The sequence below is a fragment of the Homo sapiens genome, chromosome 11, assembly GCF_000001405.40.
Source record: "Homo sapiens chromosome 11, GRCh38.p14 Primary Assembly".
Taxonomy (NCBI): Eukaryota; Metazoa; Chordata; class Mammalia; order Primates; family Hominidae; genus Homo; species Homo sapiens.
In genome coordinates this window covers 100,791,107-100,811,656 of record NC_000011.10, presented here as the reverse complement: position 1 = coordinate 100,811,656, position 20,550 = coordinate 100,791,107, and the positions used below count along the sequence as shown (strand labels likewise).

Below are 20,550 nucleotides of genomic sequence, written 5' to 3'. Positions count from 1 at the left end.
GTGGTGGTGCACTCCTATAATCCTAGCTACTCAGGAGGCTAAGGCAGAAGAATCACTTGAGCCCGGGGGAGTTGAAGTGAGCCGAGATCACACCACTGCACTCCAGTCTGGGTAACAGAGCAAGACTCCATCTCCAAAGAAAAAAAAAAAAAAGAAAGTCAAGACATTCGAGGCAGAAGCAACATAGATCACCTACTCCATGAATTCCCAAACTCTAGTCATTCACATTCTACTTCCGTGATTTTGGCCATGGCCATGTCCTACATTTTTCCTTATAAATGGATTTACTTCTTTTACTAAGCATCCTACAAAGCAACAATTTTCATTAAATCCAGAGTTGTTCTGTATCCAATACACATTGAAATAAATATGGAACTACTAACATTTAAAATGTTTATTCTGGCCAGGCATGGTAGCTCGCGCCTATCATCCTAGCACTTTGGGAGGCTGAGGTGGGCGGATCACCTGAGGTCAGGACTTTGAGACCAGCCTGGCCAACATGGTCAAACCCCATCTCTACTTAAAATACAAAAATTAGCTGGGCGTGGTGGCGCATGCCTGTAATGCCAGCTACTGAAGAGGCTGAGGCAGGAGAATCACTTGAACCCAGGAGGCGGAAGTTGCGGTGAGCCAAGGTTGCACCACTGCACTCCAGCCGGGGTAACACAGTGAGACTCTGTCCCTCCCCACCAAAATAAATAAAATAAATAAATAAATAAAATGTTCATTTTATTGCTGGTGGTTTTCATTTTACACTTTGGGAAATGCTGAACACTCCTCATTTATAAAAAAAGAAAACAAAGTCTCAAGGAGCTTAAAACTTTACTAGATGTCAATAATTAATTAGGACCTAGACTTTCCCAGTTTGTGTTCTGGTTTCCTGCTGATCCTGAAAACACATGTTATTTTATTTGCATCACTTACATAGTATTCTGTTACCTGTGGTAATAGAAATAATTCTGTAGGTAAAATGTAAAGTGAATAGAATTAAAAGTCTCAGATGGGAGGGGATATTTTATTTTCCCTCAATAGAAATAAAGCAACTACTACGTAGCACAGTTTTTTTTCCACCAAGGCAGTTAGATATGGTTATGCAAATGAAGAGTACATCATTTTTCATTTTTCAAATAGCAGTGTATCTGCTGTTGAAAATATGTGAAAGATACAAAGGTTTGGCAGAAGTTTGGAATGTAAAAAAGGTAAGGTTTTCATACGGTGGCCACATTTTCCAAATGAAAAAAGGAAATACACTAGCTTCAGGACCAGCCGGTGGTTAACCACTACACTAGTAAAAACAAGTTAACCAAATTGCTATCAGTTGAATTATTACAGTAAATTATCTTGTCTAGTATAGTCAGGGGAAAAAAGAATGTTGGTTAAAACCATTCTTTTGAACTGACTCATTGATTGGTTTTCTGTTTATTTAGTTCCCCTTTACTATCTTTATATTTTTTTTTAATTTTACACATGTAAGTCCTGCACATCCTTTGTTTAGTTATCCTTGAGTCTCTTATTTTTTTGCCACTTTTTAAAGGTTCTGTTCAGAAATATAATTAATTTACATCTATTAACCTAGCTAACCTCTCTTATTTATCTCTAATAATTTATAGATTATTTGCAATTTTCTATGTGGAAAATCATATCATAATATGACAATTTTGTTTCTTTCATTTTAAGTCTTAGATTTTTATGCCTCTGGCTTCTCTTTTTTTTTTGGAGACAGAGTCTTGCTCTGTCACCCAGGCTCGAGTGCAGTGGCACAATTTTGGCTCACTGCAACTTCCGCCTCCTGGGCTCAAGTGATCTTCCCACCTCAGCCTCCCAAGTAGCTGTGATACCATGCCCAGCTAATTTTTGTATTTTTTGCAGAAACAGGGTTTCACTATGTTGCTCAGGCTGGTCTCAAACTTCTGGGCTCATGCGATCCACCCACCTTGGCCTCCCAAAATGCTGGGATTACAGGAGTAACACAGCACACCCAGCCTGCCTCTGGTTTCATATTACTGAACAGACTAGAGGCCCTCCAAAACAATTTTGAATTTAAACAGTAATAGTGTACATCTTTGTGTGACTCCTAATTTTTAAGTAAATGTTTCTAATGTTTGAGTGAATTAACATGTTTCTAAGTCTTGTAAAATTTCATACACAACTATCATAGTATTCTGTTCAAATGACAATGTTAACCGGAAATTTCTCAAGGTCATTGCCATATTACAATAGACAAGAGTTGGAGTGATTGCCTAACTCATAATAATTCCTTTGTTTCTGAAAATAGCTCTATATTCAAAGGAAAGTCTATGCAACATATTCTGTCCCTTTAACCTTGGGTAATTGGTCAAGCGTCTTTAAGTGACCTTAGCTGGGCCAATCAGAGCCTCTCCTACCTTTCTTTTTTTCTTTTTCTTTCTTCTTCATCTTGTCTTAAAATGAAAAACTAGACAATCCTATCTAGAAACAATTTCTGTGAGTTTTAGTACAATGCTTATGACTCACCATGTGGAAGAAGCCAGCTAACAGAATGAGGCCGATAAGCAAATGAGAGGCAAAGATAAAAAACCTCTTAGAGGCCTTAGAGTTTGTGATTCTGGCTGTTTCTTAATCCCACAAGCAATGTGGGCCCTCTCACAGATAAATGAGATGCCCCAATGTCTTTCCAACCAATTTCCTGTTTGACTTGCAAATGAGTATCCTGGGTGACACACAGATAAATCACAGGATGAAGTAACATAGCATCTTGATAAGAACCCCTAAGAGTTAGGCTTTTCAAATTATGAATCCTGATTCCAGGAAAAAGGGAACATTTATGAATAATTTGTTATTTTTAATTACTATTATAACAAGTAAAATGTAATGAACTATTTACTATAATTTTATGAGGTATTACATTGGGAGAAATTGTCAGTAAAGAATACACCCGATTTCTAGTTATTTTTTATAGTTAAGAGTGAATTTGGCCGGGCGCGGTGGCTCACGCCTGTAATCCCAGCACTTTGGGAGGCCGAGGCGGGTGGATCATGAGGTCAGGAGATCGAGACCATCCTGGCTAACAAGGTGAAACCCCGTCTCTACTAAAAATACAAAAAATTAGCCGGGCGCGGTGGCGGGCGCCTGTAGTCCCAGCTACTCGGGAGGCTGAGGCAGGAGAATGGCGTGAACCCGGGAAGCGGAGCTTGCAGTGAGCCGAGATTGCGCCACTGCAGTCCGCAGTCCGGCCTGGGCGACAGAGCGAGACTCCGTCTCAAAAAAAAAAAAAAAAAAAAAGAGTGAATTTATAATTATCCCAAAAAAAGTTTAATTTTAAAAAGCTTTTGTTGCCCTTTCTCTTGAAATTACATGTATCAAATTATCAAGTTAAATTTGCATTTTCTTCTGTAGTGCATAAATATACTCTATGGTTTAATCAGAAGCAAAGACAAAAAGCATTGTGCTAACCAAAAAATGTTCCCTTATTTCTGAATATCTGGTTGGTCTGTCAGCTGATATTTCCCATTCATCCATAGCTTTGTTACCATTATTTAAAATTTCCCTTCAGGATATCTTTTATAGGTATTTTGCTAGTCTACCTCATGCCTATTTAGGTTTATTTTTCTGTCCTTTAAAATTGAGTGCCTCACCCAGATGTTAAACTTTTAAGGGACAGTTACACACTAACTTTATATACATTTACCTTTTATATTATCAAAGTATCTTTGTGCTTCCCAAGTATCAAAGAAGAACATCAAAACATGGTTTATGAATGGAATAAAGACTAGCACTTCCCCAACTGTACCAATGGAAAGTGATGGCCAACAGCAGAGAGTAAATGTATTTCCAAAAGTGCAAAGATAAAAATGGAAAGATTTCAATATGATGTGCAATTACAAGACTCCAAAGTAAAACGTATAAAACTAGGATAAATGCCAAAGGCAGGAAAATGAAAGAACTAGAGATGCGAGGAAAGAGATCAGAAGTGCAGGTGTTGTGTGGCAGCTCATATCCCATGTCTTCCCAGAGAAGACATGGGATAGAACAGAACAATGAGCTGCAAGCCCCAACTCCTGGAACTGGGTCCTATATGTAAAGTGTGGTCACTTACTGGAGGTCGACATCACACTGAGTAACTCATTTACAGGCTGTGCTGTTTCAGATTGTTGTAAGGATCAAATAACATGTATATAAAAAGGCCGGACCCGGTGGCTCACGCCTGTAATCCTAGCACTTTGGGAGACCGAGGCGGGTGGATTTCCTGAGGTCAGGAGTTCGAGACCAACCTTGCCAACGTGGTGAAAGCCTATCTCTACTAAAAATACAAAAATTGGCCAGACATGTTGATGCATGCCTGTAATCTCAGCTACTCAGGAGGCTGAGGCAGGAGAATCTCTTGAACCTGGGGGGCGGAAGTTGCAGTGAGCCGAGATCGTGCCATTGCACTCCAGCCTGGGCAACAAGAGCAAAAGTCTGTCTCAAAAGAAAAAAAAAAAAGAAAATGTATATAAAAGCTCTTTGCACAATTAAAAAATACAAATGAGGGGCCAGGAATGGTGCCTCATGCCTGTAATCCCCAGACTTTGAGAGGCCAAGGCAGGTCAATCACCTGAGGTCAGGAGTTCGAGACCAGCCTGGCCAACACGGTGAAACCCCGTCTCTATTAAAAATACAAAAATTAGCCAGGCGTGGTGGCGGGCAGCTATAATGGCAGCTACTTGGGAGGTCAAGGCACAAGAATCACTTGAGCTCGGAAGGCAGAGGTTGCAGTGAGCCAAGACGGTGCCAACGCACTCCAGCCTGGGCAACAAAGTGAGACTTGTCCCAAAAATAAATAAATAAATAAATAAATAAACAAACAAACAAACAAATAAAAAATTTAAAAATGAATTTTATGATTATTAGCACTAAAATATAAAAGCCACTATTATTGCAGTTATGATAAACTGTATATGATCTACCACCTCTCACTCTTACCTTAATATTTCACCAGAAAACTGGAAATCAGGAGATGGAAAGCATCCACAATTCAGTAAATGTGAAAATCAGAACTTTATGCATGTAGGACACTGAGATGATTTATTATTATTTTTTTTAATTTCAGGTGAAATCACTGTAGAAGAATGTTGCTATGGAGGCCAACATACCTAAAATTTGTTTCTAATTAAAGTTAACCTAAGACATACCAGAAACATAATCCGTTTTCATACATGTGGAATTTTGGCATACTGTGCCTCATTTATCTGAGACAATAAAAGAAACTGTATTACTTCACAGATAATCGCACTTAAGCATATAACAGCACCAAAGCCAGAAACTTAAGATTAATCAGTATCACCTATCGAGGGCATATCCGCAAAGCAAAGATGTACGGCAAAAATAATAAATAAAGGGAAATCTTTCATCAAGAGAAATGGGGATACGTAATTCTTTCGATATTTAAAATATTCTACTACTTCATAAATTCTGGGTTCAAGAATGGGGGAAAGACTTAAATAGGTTTATCAGATTCACTGAACATTTTTAGATCTTACATGTCAAAAATTTAATGTGGGAACTGTCAAAGGATTGATGGATAAAGTTTTCATAGAAATATATGACTAAGTATTATCAGAGGCATTTGAACCACAGCAAGTCCATCTTGAATAGGGGTGGAGTAAAATAAGGCTGAGACTTAACTGGGCTACTTTCCCAGGAGGTTGGGGATTCTTAGTCACAGGATGAGGAGTGAAGGTTGGCACAAGATGCTGGTCATAAAGACCTTGCTGATAAAACAGGATGCAGTAAAGAAACCAGCCAAAACCCACCAATACCAAGATGGCATCAAAAGGGACCTCTGGTCATCCTCATTGTTCATTATACATTAATTATAATGCATTAGCATGCTAAAAGGCACTCCCACCAGCACCATGACAGTTTATAAATGCTATGGCAATGTCAGGAAGTTACCCTACATGGTCTAAAAAGGGAAGGGACCTTCAGTTCCAGGAACTGTCCACCCCTTTCCCAGAAAACTCCTGAATACTCCACCCCTTGTTTAGCATATAATCAAGAAGTAACTATAAGTATAGTCAGTTGAACAGCCCATGCCACTGCTCTGCCTATGAAGTAGCCATTCTTTTGTTTCTTTACACCTATAATAACTTTCATTTTACAGACTCGCCCCAAATTCTGTCTTGCACAAGGTCCAAGAACCCTCTCTTGGGATTTGGATCGGGATCCCTTTTCAGTAACAATATGATGAACTTATTGAAAATTAAGATAATTTCAAAACTTATGACTATCTTCTTCCCTTCTTCCCTAATTTTTGTAAGATATTGAAGTAATACATCTAAAGTACTTATTAGCACATCTTACATATGATATCAACAATATATGTTAGTTATTGTTATTAATGGAATCTGTAATTGAAATAGAGTCTTAATTTGTGACACTGTGATTTATATGAAGGCTCCAGATCCCCACAGCATGGGTTCAAACCCTTGCGGTACCACGTATTAGTTATGTGCCTTTGAGTTTCCTCTTCTTTGAAATGGCTATATTAATAGCATACACTTTGAAATGGGTATATTAATAGCATACACTTCTGAAGACTGCTGTTCATATTAAATTAGTTGAAACACATGAAGCAACTGCAGCAGTGCCTTGCACCTTGGAATGCTCAGTGTCAGTTGCTATCATCATCTAAAGCAGTGCTGCCCCATAGAAATATAATGCAAGGCACATAACAACAAACACATTTCAGGTGTTCAACAGACACATATTCCTGATGTCTAATGTACTGACCACCACTAATAGATTCTTCACATCTTTTGAGGCTCACACGAAAGCTCAAAATCAAATGACGTTACCGACACACTTTTTTCTTTCTTAAATATCTAGGCCAGGTACGGTGGCTCACGCCTGTAATCCCAGCACTTTTGGAGGCCAAGGCGGGTGGATCACGAGGTCAGGAGTTTGAGACCAGCCTGGCCAACATAGTGAAACCCCATCTCTAATAAAAATACAAAAAATTAGCTGGGCATGGTGACAGGCGCCTGTAATCCCAGCTACTCGGGAGGCTGAGGTTGCATTGAGCCTAGATCCTGCCATTGCACTCCAGCCCAGGTGGCAGTGCGAGACTCTGACTAAAAAAAAAAAAAAAATTTAAAAATTAAAAAATATACATCTAAAACTATTCTGATTTTACTCCCATTAATCTTTATTAACTTTATGTTTTAAAACAAAAGTGAAAGAAAAACAGAGGCCTTAATAGTCTTATAAAGAAAATATTATTTAAATTTTAATGAAGGTTATAAATTTTTCTTCTAAGTCCTCCTATAATTTTTTTTTGTCCCAAAATAATACCCAGACAGCTAGTTCATTTCAGGGAAGTACTTTTATTACTCAAGGATAAAAAGACAGGCTGGGCACAGTGGCTCATGCCTGCAATCCTAGTACTTTGAGAGGCCGAGGTGAAATCATTACTTGAGGTCAGGTGTTCAATACCAGCCTATGCAATATGGTGAGACCCACAATCTCTGAAAAATAAAAATAAAAAGATAAAAACTTGAGAATTAGCTGCCCATGGTGGCATGTGCCTATAGTCCTAGCTACCCAGGAGGCTGAGGCAGGAGGATCACTTGAGCCTAAGAATCCAAGGCTACAGTGACGAGCCCAGGTGACAGAGTGAGATTCTGTCTCTAAAAAAATATACAGTTCTGGAAAACCTAAAGCAAAATTTGTAACTTACACAGGTCAAAGGCAAATGTGAAATGTTGTGGGCAATGATAGTTCTCATGTTCATCAAAATGAAAAATAAAAGAAATAAGTTCACTGGTATAAATTCTTTAAGATAAACCCTAGATAAAATATTTTGAAGTTGAAGCTTCCCCCACTGGTGACAAAGATATAGCCAAGAAAAAAAATCTACATTGCTAAACACATAAGAAATCATTTGTCAAGGTCAGGGACTATACTAGAAAGTGAGGGGCCCAGGGGTCAGACAATGATTGGAGGGTAAAGGAGGAGCATAAAGTGGACCAGATAATTTGGACCTTCTGTCCTAAGGAATGCTGCAGCCACTGGGTCCACCACCTATGTCTGTTATGGTCCCACATCTCTACTACATGCAAGTGAAGAAACGGGGCTTTGACCAAGCCATCCAAAAAGCTTCCTCTCAGTTCTCCTATTGATCTAATGTCTCCCTAGGAGGACATTAGACTCTACCTTGATTCTACCACATCTGATCAAACTGTGGACTCGATGAACCTCAGAGCTCTATCCTCCCACCCTTTCTCTTCTGTCTCATACTCTTAGCCTGGGTGATCTCACCCATTCCTATAGCTTTAAATGCCTCACACATGTTGACAACTCCTAAATTTATATCTCCAGCCCCAGCTCCTCCCCTGAATGCTAGACCCATATATCTAGTTACTCCCCAAACAAGCCTACTTAGATATACAGTACGCATCTAAATCTATCCAATTTTTTTTTTTTTAGTAGAGATTGGATCTCACTATGTTGCCCATGCTGGTCTCTAACTCCTGGCCTCAAAGCCATCCTCCTGCCTTGGCCTCCCAAAGTGCTGAGATTACAGGCATCTTCATAAACAGCAACATCCCCCACCAGCTCCATTATTTTTCTTTTTAGCATTTATCACCACCAGACATAATTTGTTTAATGTTTGTTTCTTCCCCTTAGAATGCAAGCTTCATGAGCGCAGGTATTTCTGTTATAATGTTAGAACTCAAGGGGACTAAACTAAGGCTATATGGAAAGGGCAGGAGGCCAGGGGAGATATGTGGGATGAAGCCTGTGTGACAAGAGGGAGCCAATCATGACAGGATATGGATGAGGATGTTCAAGGCAGAGGAAAGGACAAAGCTGTAAGTTCAAAAGAAGCCTGTAGTGACACACAAAGAGGAATAGAAAGAAACCCATAGGGCTGGAGAACAGGCAAGAGGGAGTGTATTAAGAAGGGCCAGGCCAGGCTCAGTGGCTCACGCCTGTAATCCCGGCACTTTGGGAGACCGAGGCGGGTGGATCACTTGAGGCCAAGAGTTTGAGACTCGCCAACAGGGTGAAACCTCATCTCTACTAAAAAAACAAAAATACAAAAATTAGCCAGGTGTAGTGGCGTGCGCCTGTAGTCCTAGCTACTCAGGAGGCTGAGGCACGAAAATCACTTTAACCTGGGAGGTGGAGGCTGCAGTGAGTCAAGATCGCACCACTGCACTCCAGCCTGGGAGACAGAGTGAGACTCTGCCTCAAAAAAAAAAAAAAAAAAGAAAGAAAGGAGAAATGGAGGTGGATGAAGTTCCAGGGATTTAAGGGGAGGCACTATCACCTCCAGTGGCATGGAGGCGAGAGTCAACTTCACTATTTCAATACAAACAACAAAGAAGAGGTTACCTAGATCTCTTCTAGAAGGCCAAAACTTAGCATTTCATCCTTTTCCAGGGAGTTCTCTTGTTATGTTAACATTGGTTCAAATTAATTTTGAACAGCCTAAGACGAAATGGTGGCATTTAAAGCCAAGTTAGCTGTGATCTAAAGAAAAAGACTGGTTTCTATGGTGGTACAGAAACTGAGAAGACGTTACCACAAAGTTTACATGGTTTAGAAGCCCCTCTCTGTATTAGAGGTAGTCTGAGTCTGACCACAAAGACACCTAATCAATGACACCTTCTAACCCAAATCATTTAAGTGCTGCATTTTATGTGGAAAAATTCTAGCATTTCCAATAAAGACGCACTTTTTAAAAAGCATATATCAATAATCGATACCAGATCCTCACCTTTTAAGTAATAAACATTTTATTAAGGTCAGTACAAAGAGCTTTTAGATTATTTCTTATATTTGTGCCATTAAAATGCTGATCTCTGCCTAGCCACATGATGGCAGGTGTCAATCCACACTGTGGAAAATCCTGCATTATGGAAGGTGTGTGAGATGTATGAGACAGAATAAACTATACCCTCCTCAAAAGGTTCTGAAACATACTTTCCATTATTTTCTCAGGTGCTTTTTTGTTGCATTAAAACTATGCATTTTAGTTGGCTTTAGCAGAAATGTAAAAAAACAAACAAACAAAAACAACAAAACAAAACAAAAAAAATCCTCAATATTTAAAGTTAGAAGGAGACAAGAGGAAGTTCCATTTCTAAAACCCATGTTTCTTTGGGCTCTTTTCTGCAAATAGTCATTAAACTACCAAGATGACATATTCATCTTCCTAAATATGGTAAATCTTCCTCATGCTGAGATTACAGGTATGAGCAACTGCATCCAGTCGATATTTTTGTTTACTCACTGTTTCAACATACTGAAGACTTTGGTCAAACCTAACAAATATATATATAATACTCATGATTTATCAATAAAAAAATCTGAACTAGTGGTTTTATAATTAATTATATAGTCCCTTTACAATTTCCTGGTACACTAAAAATATTCTTCTCCCCAAATAAAGCACTAATTTTTTAAATACAAGTTCTTTGACACATCTTTGTACAAAATCTCTCACCATCTATACATACAGGTTGAGCATCCCAAATCTGAAAATCTAAAATCCGGAATGTCCCAAAATCCAAAACTTTTTGAGTACAGACATAATGTTCAAAGGAAATGCTCTCTGGAGCACTTCCAATATGAAATTTTCAAATTTGGGATGCTTAGCCAGTAAGTATAATGCAAATATTCCAAATTTTTTAAAATCTGAAATCTAAAACATTTTTGGTCCCAAGCATTTTGGATAAGGGATATTAAACCTATACTATCATTGTTTTAATAACATCATATGACTGAAGTGTTAACTTATGTGACTGAAGTGTTAACTTATCACTGCAATGTTTAGATTTGTGTGATCAGCGCTTATTTTGTATATAATCTGTGGAAATGCATTCCATTAGACTTGTATCTATAGTTTTTTTCATTACATTGCACATTCTTTATTTCAGACCCTTTCTGAAACAACAGGTAAAGCAATCAAAACCCACAGTATGATTTCACGAAAGCAGAATTTCTTCCCTGCCCCAAAAACAGAAACATGGCCAAAAGAAGAAATGAAATGAAGATCTTTGAAACACTAAGAAATGGGTGGTCGGATCTTCCTTCATCTCCATGGCTTATAAGATACTCTAACACATTCTTGAGCCATTTCCTCTCCTTGGTCGCTGTCCTTGACTCTGTCATCATATTGGATGATGTCAAGATCCTGTCCATAAAACATCCAAATCTCTGAGCTCAGCTTTCTGGATTCCTAAGGCCTGTCTCCCAGCTCAGCTACATCCTAATCTCATCACTATCCAGACCAGCTCCAAAACCAAGCTCAGCACATTTCACAACTTCCCTGTCTTCCAACTCCCCTCTGTTCCCAGTGAACCTTCAACATCACTAAGTAGTTATGCTTGCCATCTCTGCTTTCTAAGGCTATCAATAACCTCCTGCCTCGATTATTGCTACACTTAACCAATACCCATTTTCATATTATACAAATCCATGTCTCCTTAATCCAGCACCATTGTCTTCTGAGCCAACCATCAACTTGAATCTGATCCCCCAACTGTGCTTACTGTTTACAGTTCAGTATTGGGTATTCCTAGAAAAATCCACAAAAACATAGTAACTAGTCTATCCTTAACAGACTTATGATGGCTAACTTCAATTTCTCTTCATTGCTGACCATAGTCCCCTTACTTCTCTTTTGAATAACTTACCCCCTTGGCTGTTCTAAACCATTTCTACAAACTCCTGGGCACATTAAATAACCACTCCTTCATAACACTATTCTCCACTTGTCCAATCAACCATTTTACCATTTCACATTTCTACTACGTTTTTATCAACCCTCTTTCTTTTCTTCCACCTTAAAGGAAGAGCTTTTCCTCTGATGCCTACAAAGTCTCTTCAGTGCTATGAGAACATTCCTTTGGATCTCTTTCCTCCCAAAAACTACAACACATTTTCTTCTATTCTTTAAACCGTCATATTTTCTAGAATTATAACTATGGTACTTAGTTTATTGCTTTCCTGAACTATTTACACAAGATCTGAATCACAGCCTCGCCAACCCAGAACTATTTCTCTTGGCTCCATTACTCTTCTAATTCTTAATTTTCACATCTCTCTAACCTCTCTTTCCCATTTCTGTCATCAGAGGCTCTTGTTGAACACAAGTGCACATACTACCCAATTCTCCCTGTGGAAGTTAGACTTCTTTGATACAGTTCACATAGGTAGAGTAAGGATCACATATAAAGCACGTAAAACAGCATACTATTTAGGCTTCAAAACTCAGATCAAAGTCACCTTCACAGAAAACCTTTCTTTGCCCCACCAGAAAACGTCAGTCTCCCATAAAAGTATACACATTTCTAGTAGTACAGGTCACACTGCATGGCTGTCTCTCTGGCACTGGGACTAGACCCATGTAGGCTAATGTTTCCTAAATGAATGTGGTCATCCCACCACCAGCCAGAACATTTCTTCCCCACCTCATCTCTTTCTCACATGGCTACCAAAGTAATATCACCTGAATCGTACTTTAATTCTCTCATTCTTCTCTCCAAAAACTTCTGGGAATTCTCCCATTGCCTATAACAAACACAAAAACTTCTAGGTGTAGCCCTGTAACCCTGCATATGACCACAACTATTAATTAACCTTCTACTAATCCCTTCTAAGAACTATCTGCCTTATTCCACAACTTATACAGAACTGTCTCCCACTTTGGGGCCTCTGTCCAAGTTCATTTCTACAACTGCCACGACCTACTTGTGTGATCCTTCCCCAGCTCAGGAAATGTACCCTCTGAGTCAAGGGCACCTTAATAACACCCACCTTCCTCAAATGGCTTTCTCTTATCAGTTCAGAAAAATAATACCATACTGTGTCACAGTCCCAGAGGATTCAGTCCACACCTGAGTATTATATCAACCAGGCATACCTCAGAGATATTGTGGGTTCAGTTCCAAGTTACTGCAATAAAGTGAATATCACATTAAATATAAATAAAATATATAAAGTACATAAGTTCAATATATGAATATGTGTAAATATAAATAAAGCAAGTCACATGAATTTTTGATGCCAGTGCAAATAAGTTATATTTATGTAATATTGTAGTCTACTGAGTGTGCAATAGTGTTTTGTCTAAAAAAATGGTGTACATACCTTAATTTAAAAGTATTTCCTGCCTGAAAAATGCTAACAATCGTCTGAGCCTTCAGCAAGTCATAATCTTTTTGATGGTGGAGGCTCCTGTCTTGATGCTGATGACTGTTAACTGATCAGGGTGGTGGTTGCTGAAGGCCGGAGTGGCTGTGGTAATTTCTTAAGACAACAATGAAGTCTGTAGCATTGATTGAATCTTCCTTTCACAGAAAATTTCTCTGTAGCATGAATTACAGTTTGATAGCATTTTACCCATGGTAGAACTTCTTTCAAAATTGAAGTCTATCTTGTCAACCCTGCTACTGCATTCTCAACTAAGTTTATGTAGTCTTCTAAATCCTTTGTTGTTATTTCAACAATATTCACAGTATCTTCACCAAGAGTAGATCTGATCTCAAGAAACCATGTATTTTGCTTATCCATAGGAAGCAATTCCTTATCTATTTAAGTCTCATCATGAGATTGCAGCAATTCAGTCACATCTTCAGGCTCCACTTCTAATTCTAGTTCTCTTAAATCTTCCATCACATCTATAGTTATTTACTCCACTGAGTCTTGAACCTCTCCAAGTCATCCATGAGGGCTGGAATCAACTTCTTCCAAACTTCAGTTGATATTTTAACCTCTTTGTGAGCAGGAATCACTAGAATCAACTTCTAGTGATAAATCCTTTCCAGAAAGTTTTCAATTGACTTTGATGAGCTCCATCAGAGGAATCAAAATCTATGGCAGCTATAGCCTTGAAAAAATGTATTTCTTAAATCATAAGACTTGAAAGTCAAAATTACTCCTTGATCCATGGGCTGCAGAATGAATGTTGTGTTAACAGACATGAAAACACTAATTTCCTTGCACATCTCCATCATAGCTCTTGGGTGACCAGGTATATTGTCAATGAGCAGTAATATTTTTAATGCTATCTTTTTTTTTTTTTCCTGAACATTAGGTCTCAACAGTGGACTTAAAATACTCAGTAAACCATGCTGTAAACTGATGTGCTCTCATCCAGGCTCCATGTTCTATAACTAGAGCCCAGACAGGGTAGATTTAGCATAATTCTTAAGGGCCCTAGGATTTCTGGAATGGTAAATGAGCACTGGCTTCAACTTAAAATCACCAGCTACATTAGTACCTAACATGAGAGTCAGCCCATCCTTTGAAGCCAGACACTGACTACTTTTCTTTTATTGCTGTGAAAGTCCTAGATGGCAACTTCTTCCAAGGGAAGGCTGTTTTGTCTACATTGAAATTCTGTTGTTTAGTATAGCCACCTTCATCTACGATCTCAGCCAGATCTTTTGGATAACTTGCTGCAGCTTCTATATCAGCACTTGGCTGCTTCATCTTGCATTTTTATGTTATAGTGATGGCTTCTTTCCTTAAACCTTATGAACCAACCACTACTAGCTCCAAACTCTTCTTCTGCAGCTTTCCTCACCTCTTTCAGCATTCATAGAATTGAAAAGAGTTGGGCTGGATGCAGTGGCTCACGCCTGTAATCCCAGCATTTTGGGAGGCCAAGGCAGGCTGATCACGAGGTCAGGAGTTCAAGACCAGCCTGACCAACATGGTGAAATCCCATCTCTACTAAAAATACAATAATTAGCCAGGTGGGTGGGGTGCACCTACAATCCCAGCTACTCAGGAGGCTGAGGCAGGAGAATCGCTTGAACCCAGGAGGCAGAGGTTGCAGTGAGCAAAGATCGCGCCACTGCACTCCAGCCTGGACGACAGAGTGAGACTCTGTCTGAAAAAAAAAAAAAAAAAAAGAATTAAAAAGAGTTAGGGACTTGTTCTCAATGGGCTTGGCTTAAGGAAATGTGGCTAGTTTGATCTTCTATCCAGACCACTAAAATTTTCTCCATATTAGTAATAGTGCTGTTTTGTTTTCTTATCATTTGTGGGTTTAATAGACTAGTACTTTTAATTTCCTCCAAGAACTTTCCTTTGCACTCACCACTTTGCTAACTATTTGTTTCAAGAGGCCTAGCTTTAAGCCTGCATCAGGTTTTGACATGCCTTCTTCACTAAACTTAAATCAGTTCTACCTTTTGGCTTAAAAAAGTGAGAGACACATGACACTTCCTTTCACTTGAACACTTAGAGGCCACTGTAAGGTTTTTAGTTGGCCTAATTTCAATATATTCATGTTTCAGGCAATAGAGAGATCTGAGGACAGGAAGAGAGATGGGTGAATGGCTGGCTGGTACAGCAGTCAGAACACACTCACCATTTATTATGTTCACAGTCTTATTTGGGTAGGGTCTGTGGAGTCCCAAAAAAGTCCTAATAGTAACCCTAACATTCACGCATCACAGGTCACCACAACAGATATAACACTAATGAAAAAATTTGAAACATTGAGAGAATTACCAAAACGTGACACAGAGACAGAAAGTACACACATGCTGTTAGAAAAATGGTGCCAACAGACTTGCTCAATGCAGGTTACCAAAACCCTTAATTTGAAAACAAAAACAAAACAAACGAAAAACAAAAACCACACATTATCTGCAAAATGTGGTATAGTAAAGCACAAAGAAATGAAGTATGGCTGTATATGTGTATATAATCCCCCAAGTGGACAGTGAGGTCAGTTAAATCAGAGATAATGTCTTAGATAAGTCTGTAACCCTCACTGTAACTGACTATCAGCATCGTTATCACCATCAAAATGTATTTACTATGTGCCAGGTGCTGCTACAGATGCTTTCCAACAATCCTGTGGGATATATACTACTATTTTTCCCATATTACAGATGAGGACATTGCATCATAAACAGAGAACATCACAGATATTTGAAAACATTGGGCATAAAATCATATTTTTGAATGGATAAGTGTTTCACCAATAACTATGCTCTAATACCTTTGCATATATTCATCCATCAATCTAGAATGTTTTCCCTGTCCTTCCCAGCCTAGCAAAATTCTCCCAACCTTCAGGGTTCAACTCAAGCGTTACCTTTTAACACTACCCTGGCAAGTTCCTCCTTCCATGAATTGTCTCAAACATTTGAAACATGTTTGTATTATAACACTGAGGTTGTTATAACCTCTAAATGTTTGCTGAATTAGAATGGGTTTCTTAATGGCAGTCTGATCAATATTTTTAATCCTTAGAACAGTAAATGGCAAGCAAAATAAAGCTAACCTACATATGCCAAGCATATAATTAGAAAAAAATGGTATATCTTATCAGCAATATATGATAATTATAGTCACAAATCTTTTCAAAAATACATGTAAAAATTAGTAGACGTGTCAAATCATAAGGCCTTGTATAAAGTTCTCTAGTTCAGGAAGTCCATTCTTTCTCTTTAATATGTTGAAACAAAGCAATATTCTTAAGAAATACAGAACAGACTTACCAGTCTTCGCCTTTCTTCTTCTACTGCAATGAGTAGTCTTGCAAATTCTTTTAGTGACTGAGCTGTTTGGAAAGATAAAAAAATGCAAAGAATTAATATTTTCATAGCTAATATCTAATTACTCAAGAAGAAACATTACAAGAAAGCTGGTTATTAATTTGTATATAGTATATTCTGTATACTATTAATTTGAATATACTATATTCTGTGATTTTATGTTTGTATAACCATAAAACAATATACAATAGGATCCTAATCACTAACAGCTATGGATCAGAGAGGTATGTACAAATTAAAGCTTAGCAAGTACCAACAATATCTTTTCTTCAAAGACATTGGAAGAAATATAGCTTATATATTTAATATGTAAAATGTACACATATATTGATAAACATAGCATTGAAATCATTTGTAAGCAGTGACCTACAAATAACCAAACATTTTTAAGTCTGTAAGGAGCAACAAATCTACTATTTCGTGTACTTAGTAGCAGCCAGTAATGCAAAATTTTCCACTGACTTCTAGAAGCTGAAGGGTCACAGATAATTGAAAACAGCTTCCATATACTGAAGGGATCAACTTTACTTCTACATCCAAGGTATGTTAGATCTTTGCTGTTCAATTCAGCGTTAACATCAGCATCTTGGGAGTTTGTTAGAAATGCAGACTCTCAGGCCCCACCCCAGAATCTGCATTTTAACAAGATCCTCTGGTAATCTGTTTCTGTATTAAAGTTGAGAGGCCTGCTTTAGAAAACTATCTGTACCTATATTGCTTTACTTTTAGTAGGAATTGAACAAGAAGAACAATTTAAATTGAAATGGGAAAGATCAAGTACTCAGAAACATTGTGGGAGCAAATAAAAACTAAGCAAATAAATTAAAGGGATGTTATAGTAGCATATTCTTTAAAAATGCATAGGTCCAAATGGCAATTATGGAAGAGTAATTCACCCATATCAATTTTTCAAACCTAATGCTTAAAATGAATAATTAACCAAAGTTAGAATGTTTGGGTCACAAAAATGGTAACACAAATAAACCTCTTCTATGTCTTTTTTTTTTTTTTTTTTTTTTTTTTTTTTTTTTTTTGAGACAGGGTCTAGCTCTGTTGTTCGGATTGGAGAGCAGTGGTGAAATCACTGCAGCCTCGATCTCCCAGGCTCAAGCAATCTTCCCACCTCAGCCTCCCAAGTACCTAAGACTACAGGCGTGTACCACACCTGGCTAATTTTGTTTATTTATTTACTTATTTATTTTGTAGAGACAGGGTCTCACTATGTTGCCCAGATGGTCTCAAACTCTTGGACTCAAGTGATCCTCCTGCCTCAGCCTCCCAAAGTGCTGGGATTACAGGCATGAGCCATTGCACCGGGCCATACAGCCTTATTTGTTAGATTCCTACTCACTTCCTTTCCCCATCTTAATACCGGAAACATCCTGTGAGACCAGAAGTTTAGTAATTCTGGCATAAAGCCAACAACAAAGACAAGTAAGTGAGAAAAACAAATCAAAAGAACTCATCAAAAGAACTCATTAAGGAAGATAAAAAATATTTTCCATTTAAGAATTAAAAATTCCAACTTAAAATATTTTCTCTTTTCAGAATTACTAGGCTTATACTAGCCAAACTGGTGTGAAATATTAAACCCTATGATTATTTCATATTGGATTTTATTCAGAGTTACCAAAACAGAAATCAATGGATTACCTGGGAGACTCAGGATAATCTAATAAACACATTAATGGTCTTTTCTTTAAAGTTTGGATAAAAGAGATCTCTTCAGAAATATTGGTATTAATGTTATAATACATTCCCATTTTGACAACAGTTAGTTGAACAAAAAATTATTATATAAATAGAAAGAATATTTTAACTGGAGTGTATAACAGCATATTATATTTTTGTGCTTTCTTTTGGTTAAAGTATTCCATCATTCTGGTAGGTATCTACTGCCACTGAAGCTGTTGGTTGGTGAGTTTGAAGAAGTCAACAAAACTCTGGATGCTGGAAGGCAATGATAACAGGTCTACAGAGAAAGAAGTCAAGAGGTAGGTCAGTTTGGGTTGCCTGAGTGTAACAATAAGTATGTTTTTTAAAAAAAGAAAATTCTGGCTGGGCGCGGTGGCTCACGCCTGTAATCCCAGCACTTTGGGAGGCTGAGGAGTGCAGGTCACGAGGTCAGGAGATGGAGACCATCCTGGCTAACACGATGAAACCCCACCTCTACTAAAAATACAAAAAAAATTAGCAGGGCGTGGTGGCGGGCACCTGTAGTCCCAGCTACTCAGGAGGCTGAGGCAGGAGAACGGCGTGAACCCGGAAGGCAGAGCTTGCAGTAAGCCGAGATCGTGCCACTGCACTCCAGCCTAGGTGACAGAGAGAGACTCGGTCTCAAAAAAAAAAAAAAAAAAGAAAATTCCAAGTCAATTGTTAATTCCTGGGAAAACAACATTATACAAATAACACAATCACAATAAACTAAGTAGCTGACTTGTAACTAATATGTACAAAGTCACTACAATATAACATGAAAAACTTATTTTGCCAAAGTTGTTTTAACTATCGAGAGAACAGGAGAAAGGCATGTGTAAAACAGTATGAAGTAAAGACATGTATGAAAACAGTATGAAGCCAAATGATAAATATCTAAAACTGAAAAACAAATTCTAAAAATAGCAGGACAATCACGGTCTTGAAAAAATTACAAGAAATGACTAAAAGTTCAACATAGTCTTTCTGAGAAATTAAAGTAAGTAGTGGGGACTGGCAAGATAGGAGATTGCTAGTTTTCATTAATCCTAACAAAATCTATAACTTTTTCAACATATAATGAAGAATAAAACATGCTACAAATGCTTTATTTTCATACTAGTCTAAATGCTAGGAGGACATAGATCCTTTATTTATTAAATTTCCCAAAGGGCTAAATAAATACCTAGTACATAGAAGCCTGTCAACAGCTATTTTGGAATAAATGAAAATATAACAATATTAGATTGGCAGGAGCACACTAGAACTTCCCATTTGGTCAAGCCAGGAAATGATCACTGGCTCATACAGCCTCAGGGTGTATTTCACTGGCTCCTGGGTATTGCCTCTGAGAACAGCTGAAGTCCACAGGCTTCCCCTAAGGTACCTCCTACCTCAAGAGCAAATCGTGAAGTTGTCTTAAATCAGATTTTGGTTACAAGTAAGAAAACAAGCTCTCATTTTGCTATTCTACTTTTTTGTTTAAAAATTTATGATACTGTTTTCTATTTTACTTGAATGGTTTTCTGGTCTGTTTCCCATATGAACACTATTTATAGATTTAGTAAGATAATAGTTGATTATAATGGCAATGTCTGAGAAGAAAAATTTTAACATGCAAAAGCAATTGCATGTCTGGTTCTCCACAACAAAAACTCCTCTCCCTCCAGGAGTTTTCTGAGACTGGCCCCAATCTGACAACAAATTTTCTTCCCTCTTTTTTTTTTTGTTGATTTTTCAGGGAAAGGACTTCAAAAAATTACGACTGGGTGTCTTTAAATTTTGTAGTCTCAGTTCCAGAAAAGGACATATTTCTTGGTACAATGAAGACACTCATGTTTGTCATTTGTTCTATTAAAAAAAAAAGTTGAGGACATTAAATATTCATTTTATGAGTTAGTAACAGTGGCCTAACTTTTTAAGCCCATATCTGAAATTTTCCTCTAAATCCTTTCATTTATAATAATATCAAAGTATTGTGTTAATAGTTTTCTAGGCTTAACATAACACAGATCTTTCTGTGCTTTCTTAAACAGGAATTTACAATACCATAGAGCAGGTACAAGAATGTAAGGTATTATCATGTAAATTGCATTTTAAGAGAACAGGCTGATGGGGATCTCCAGTCACTTCCCTGCCTGGCCCATCCACAAAGTCTAACAGAAACCTCTGACACAAGCCAGGCAGATCCAAACTGCCTAGTGTGCCCCAGCAGCTCCCTAGACATGAGAGGCCAGGGTTAGAACTTCTGGTACACAGGACCCAAAAATGCCCTAAGAGACCATGAAAACTGTGGAGTCTATTCTAC

The 20,550-nt window shown here is 37.9% G+C and overlaps 1 protein-coding gene across 4 annotated transcripts in view, besides 1 other annotated feature; it reads right to left on the bottom strand.

The window, feature by feature from the left end:
- ARHGAP42 (Rho GTPase activating protein 42) overlaps positions 1-20,550 on the bottom strand; it is a 306,654-nt gene that overhangs the window by 182,285 nt on the left and 103,819 nt on the right. For all 4 annotated transcript variants that reach the window (NM_001367945.1, NM_152432.4, XM_011542616.3 and 1 more), the window contains exon 3: positions 16,491-16,552. Coding sequence is in view for 3 of the 4 variants with exons in the window: in NM_152432.4 (NP_689645.2) it covers positions 16,491-16,552 (62 nt within the window). In the remaining variant the exon portion in view is untranslated. The remainder of the gene's footprint in view (positions 1-16,490; positions 16,553-20,550) is intronic.
- Positions 5,785-6,079: an enhancer, noted in NCBI's record as "tiled region #13184; K562 Activating DNase matched - State 9:DNaseU". NCBI's record gives its function as "activates a minimal TATA promoter and a strong SV40 promoter by Sharpr-MPRA in K562 cells {active_cell/tissue: K562}" and the evidence as "EXISTENCE:reporter gene assay evidence [ECO:0000049][PMID:27701403]".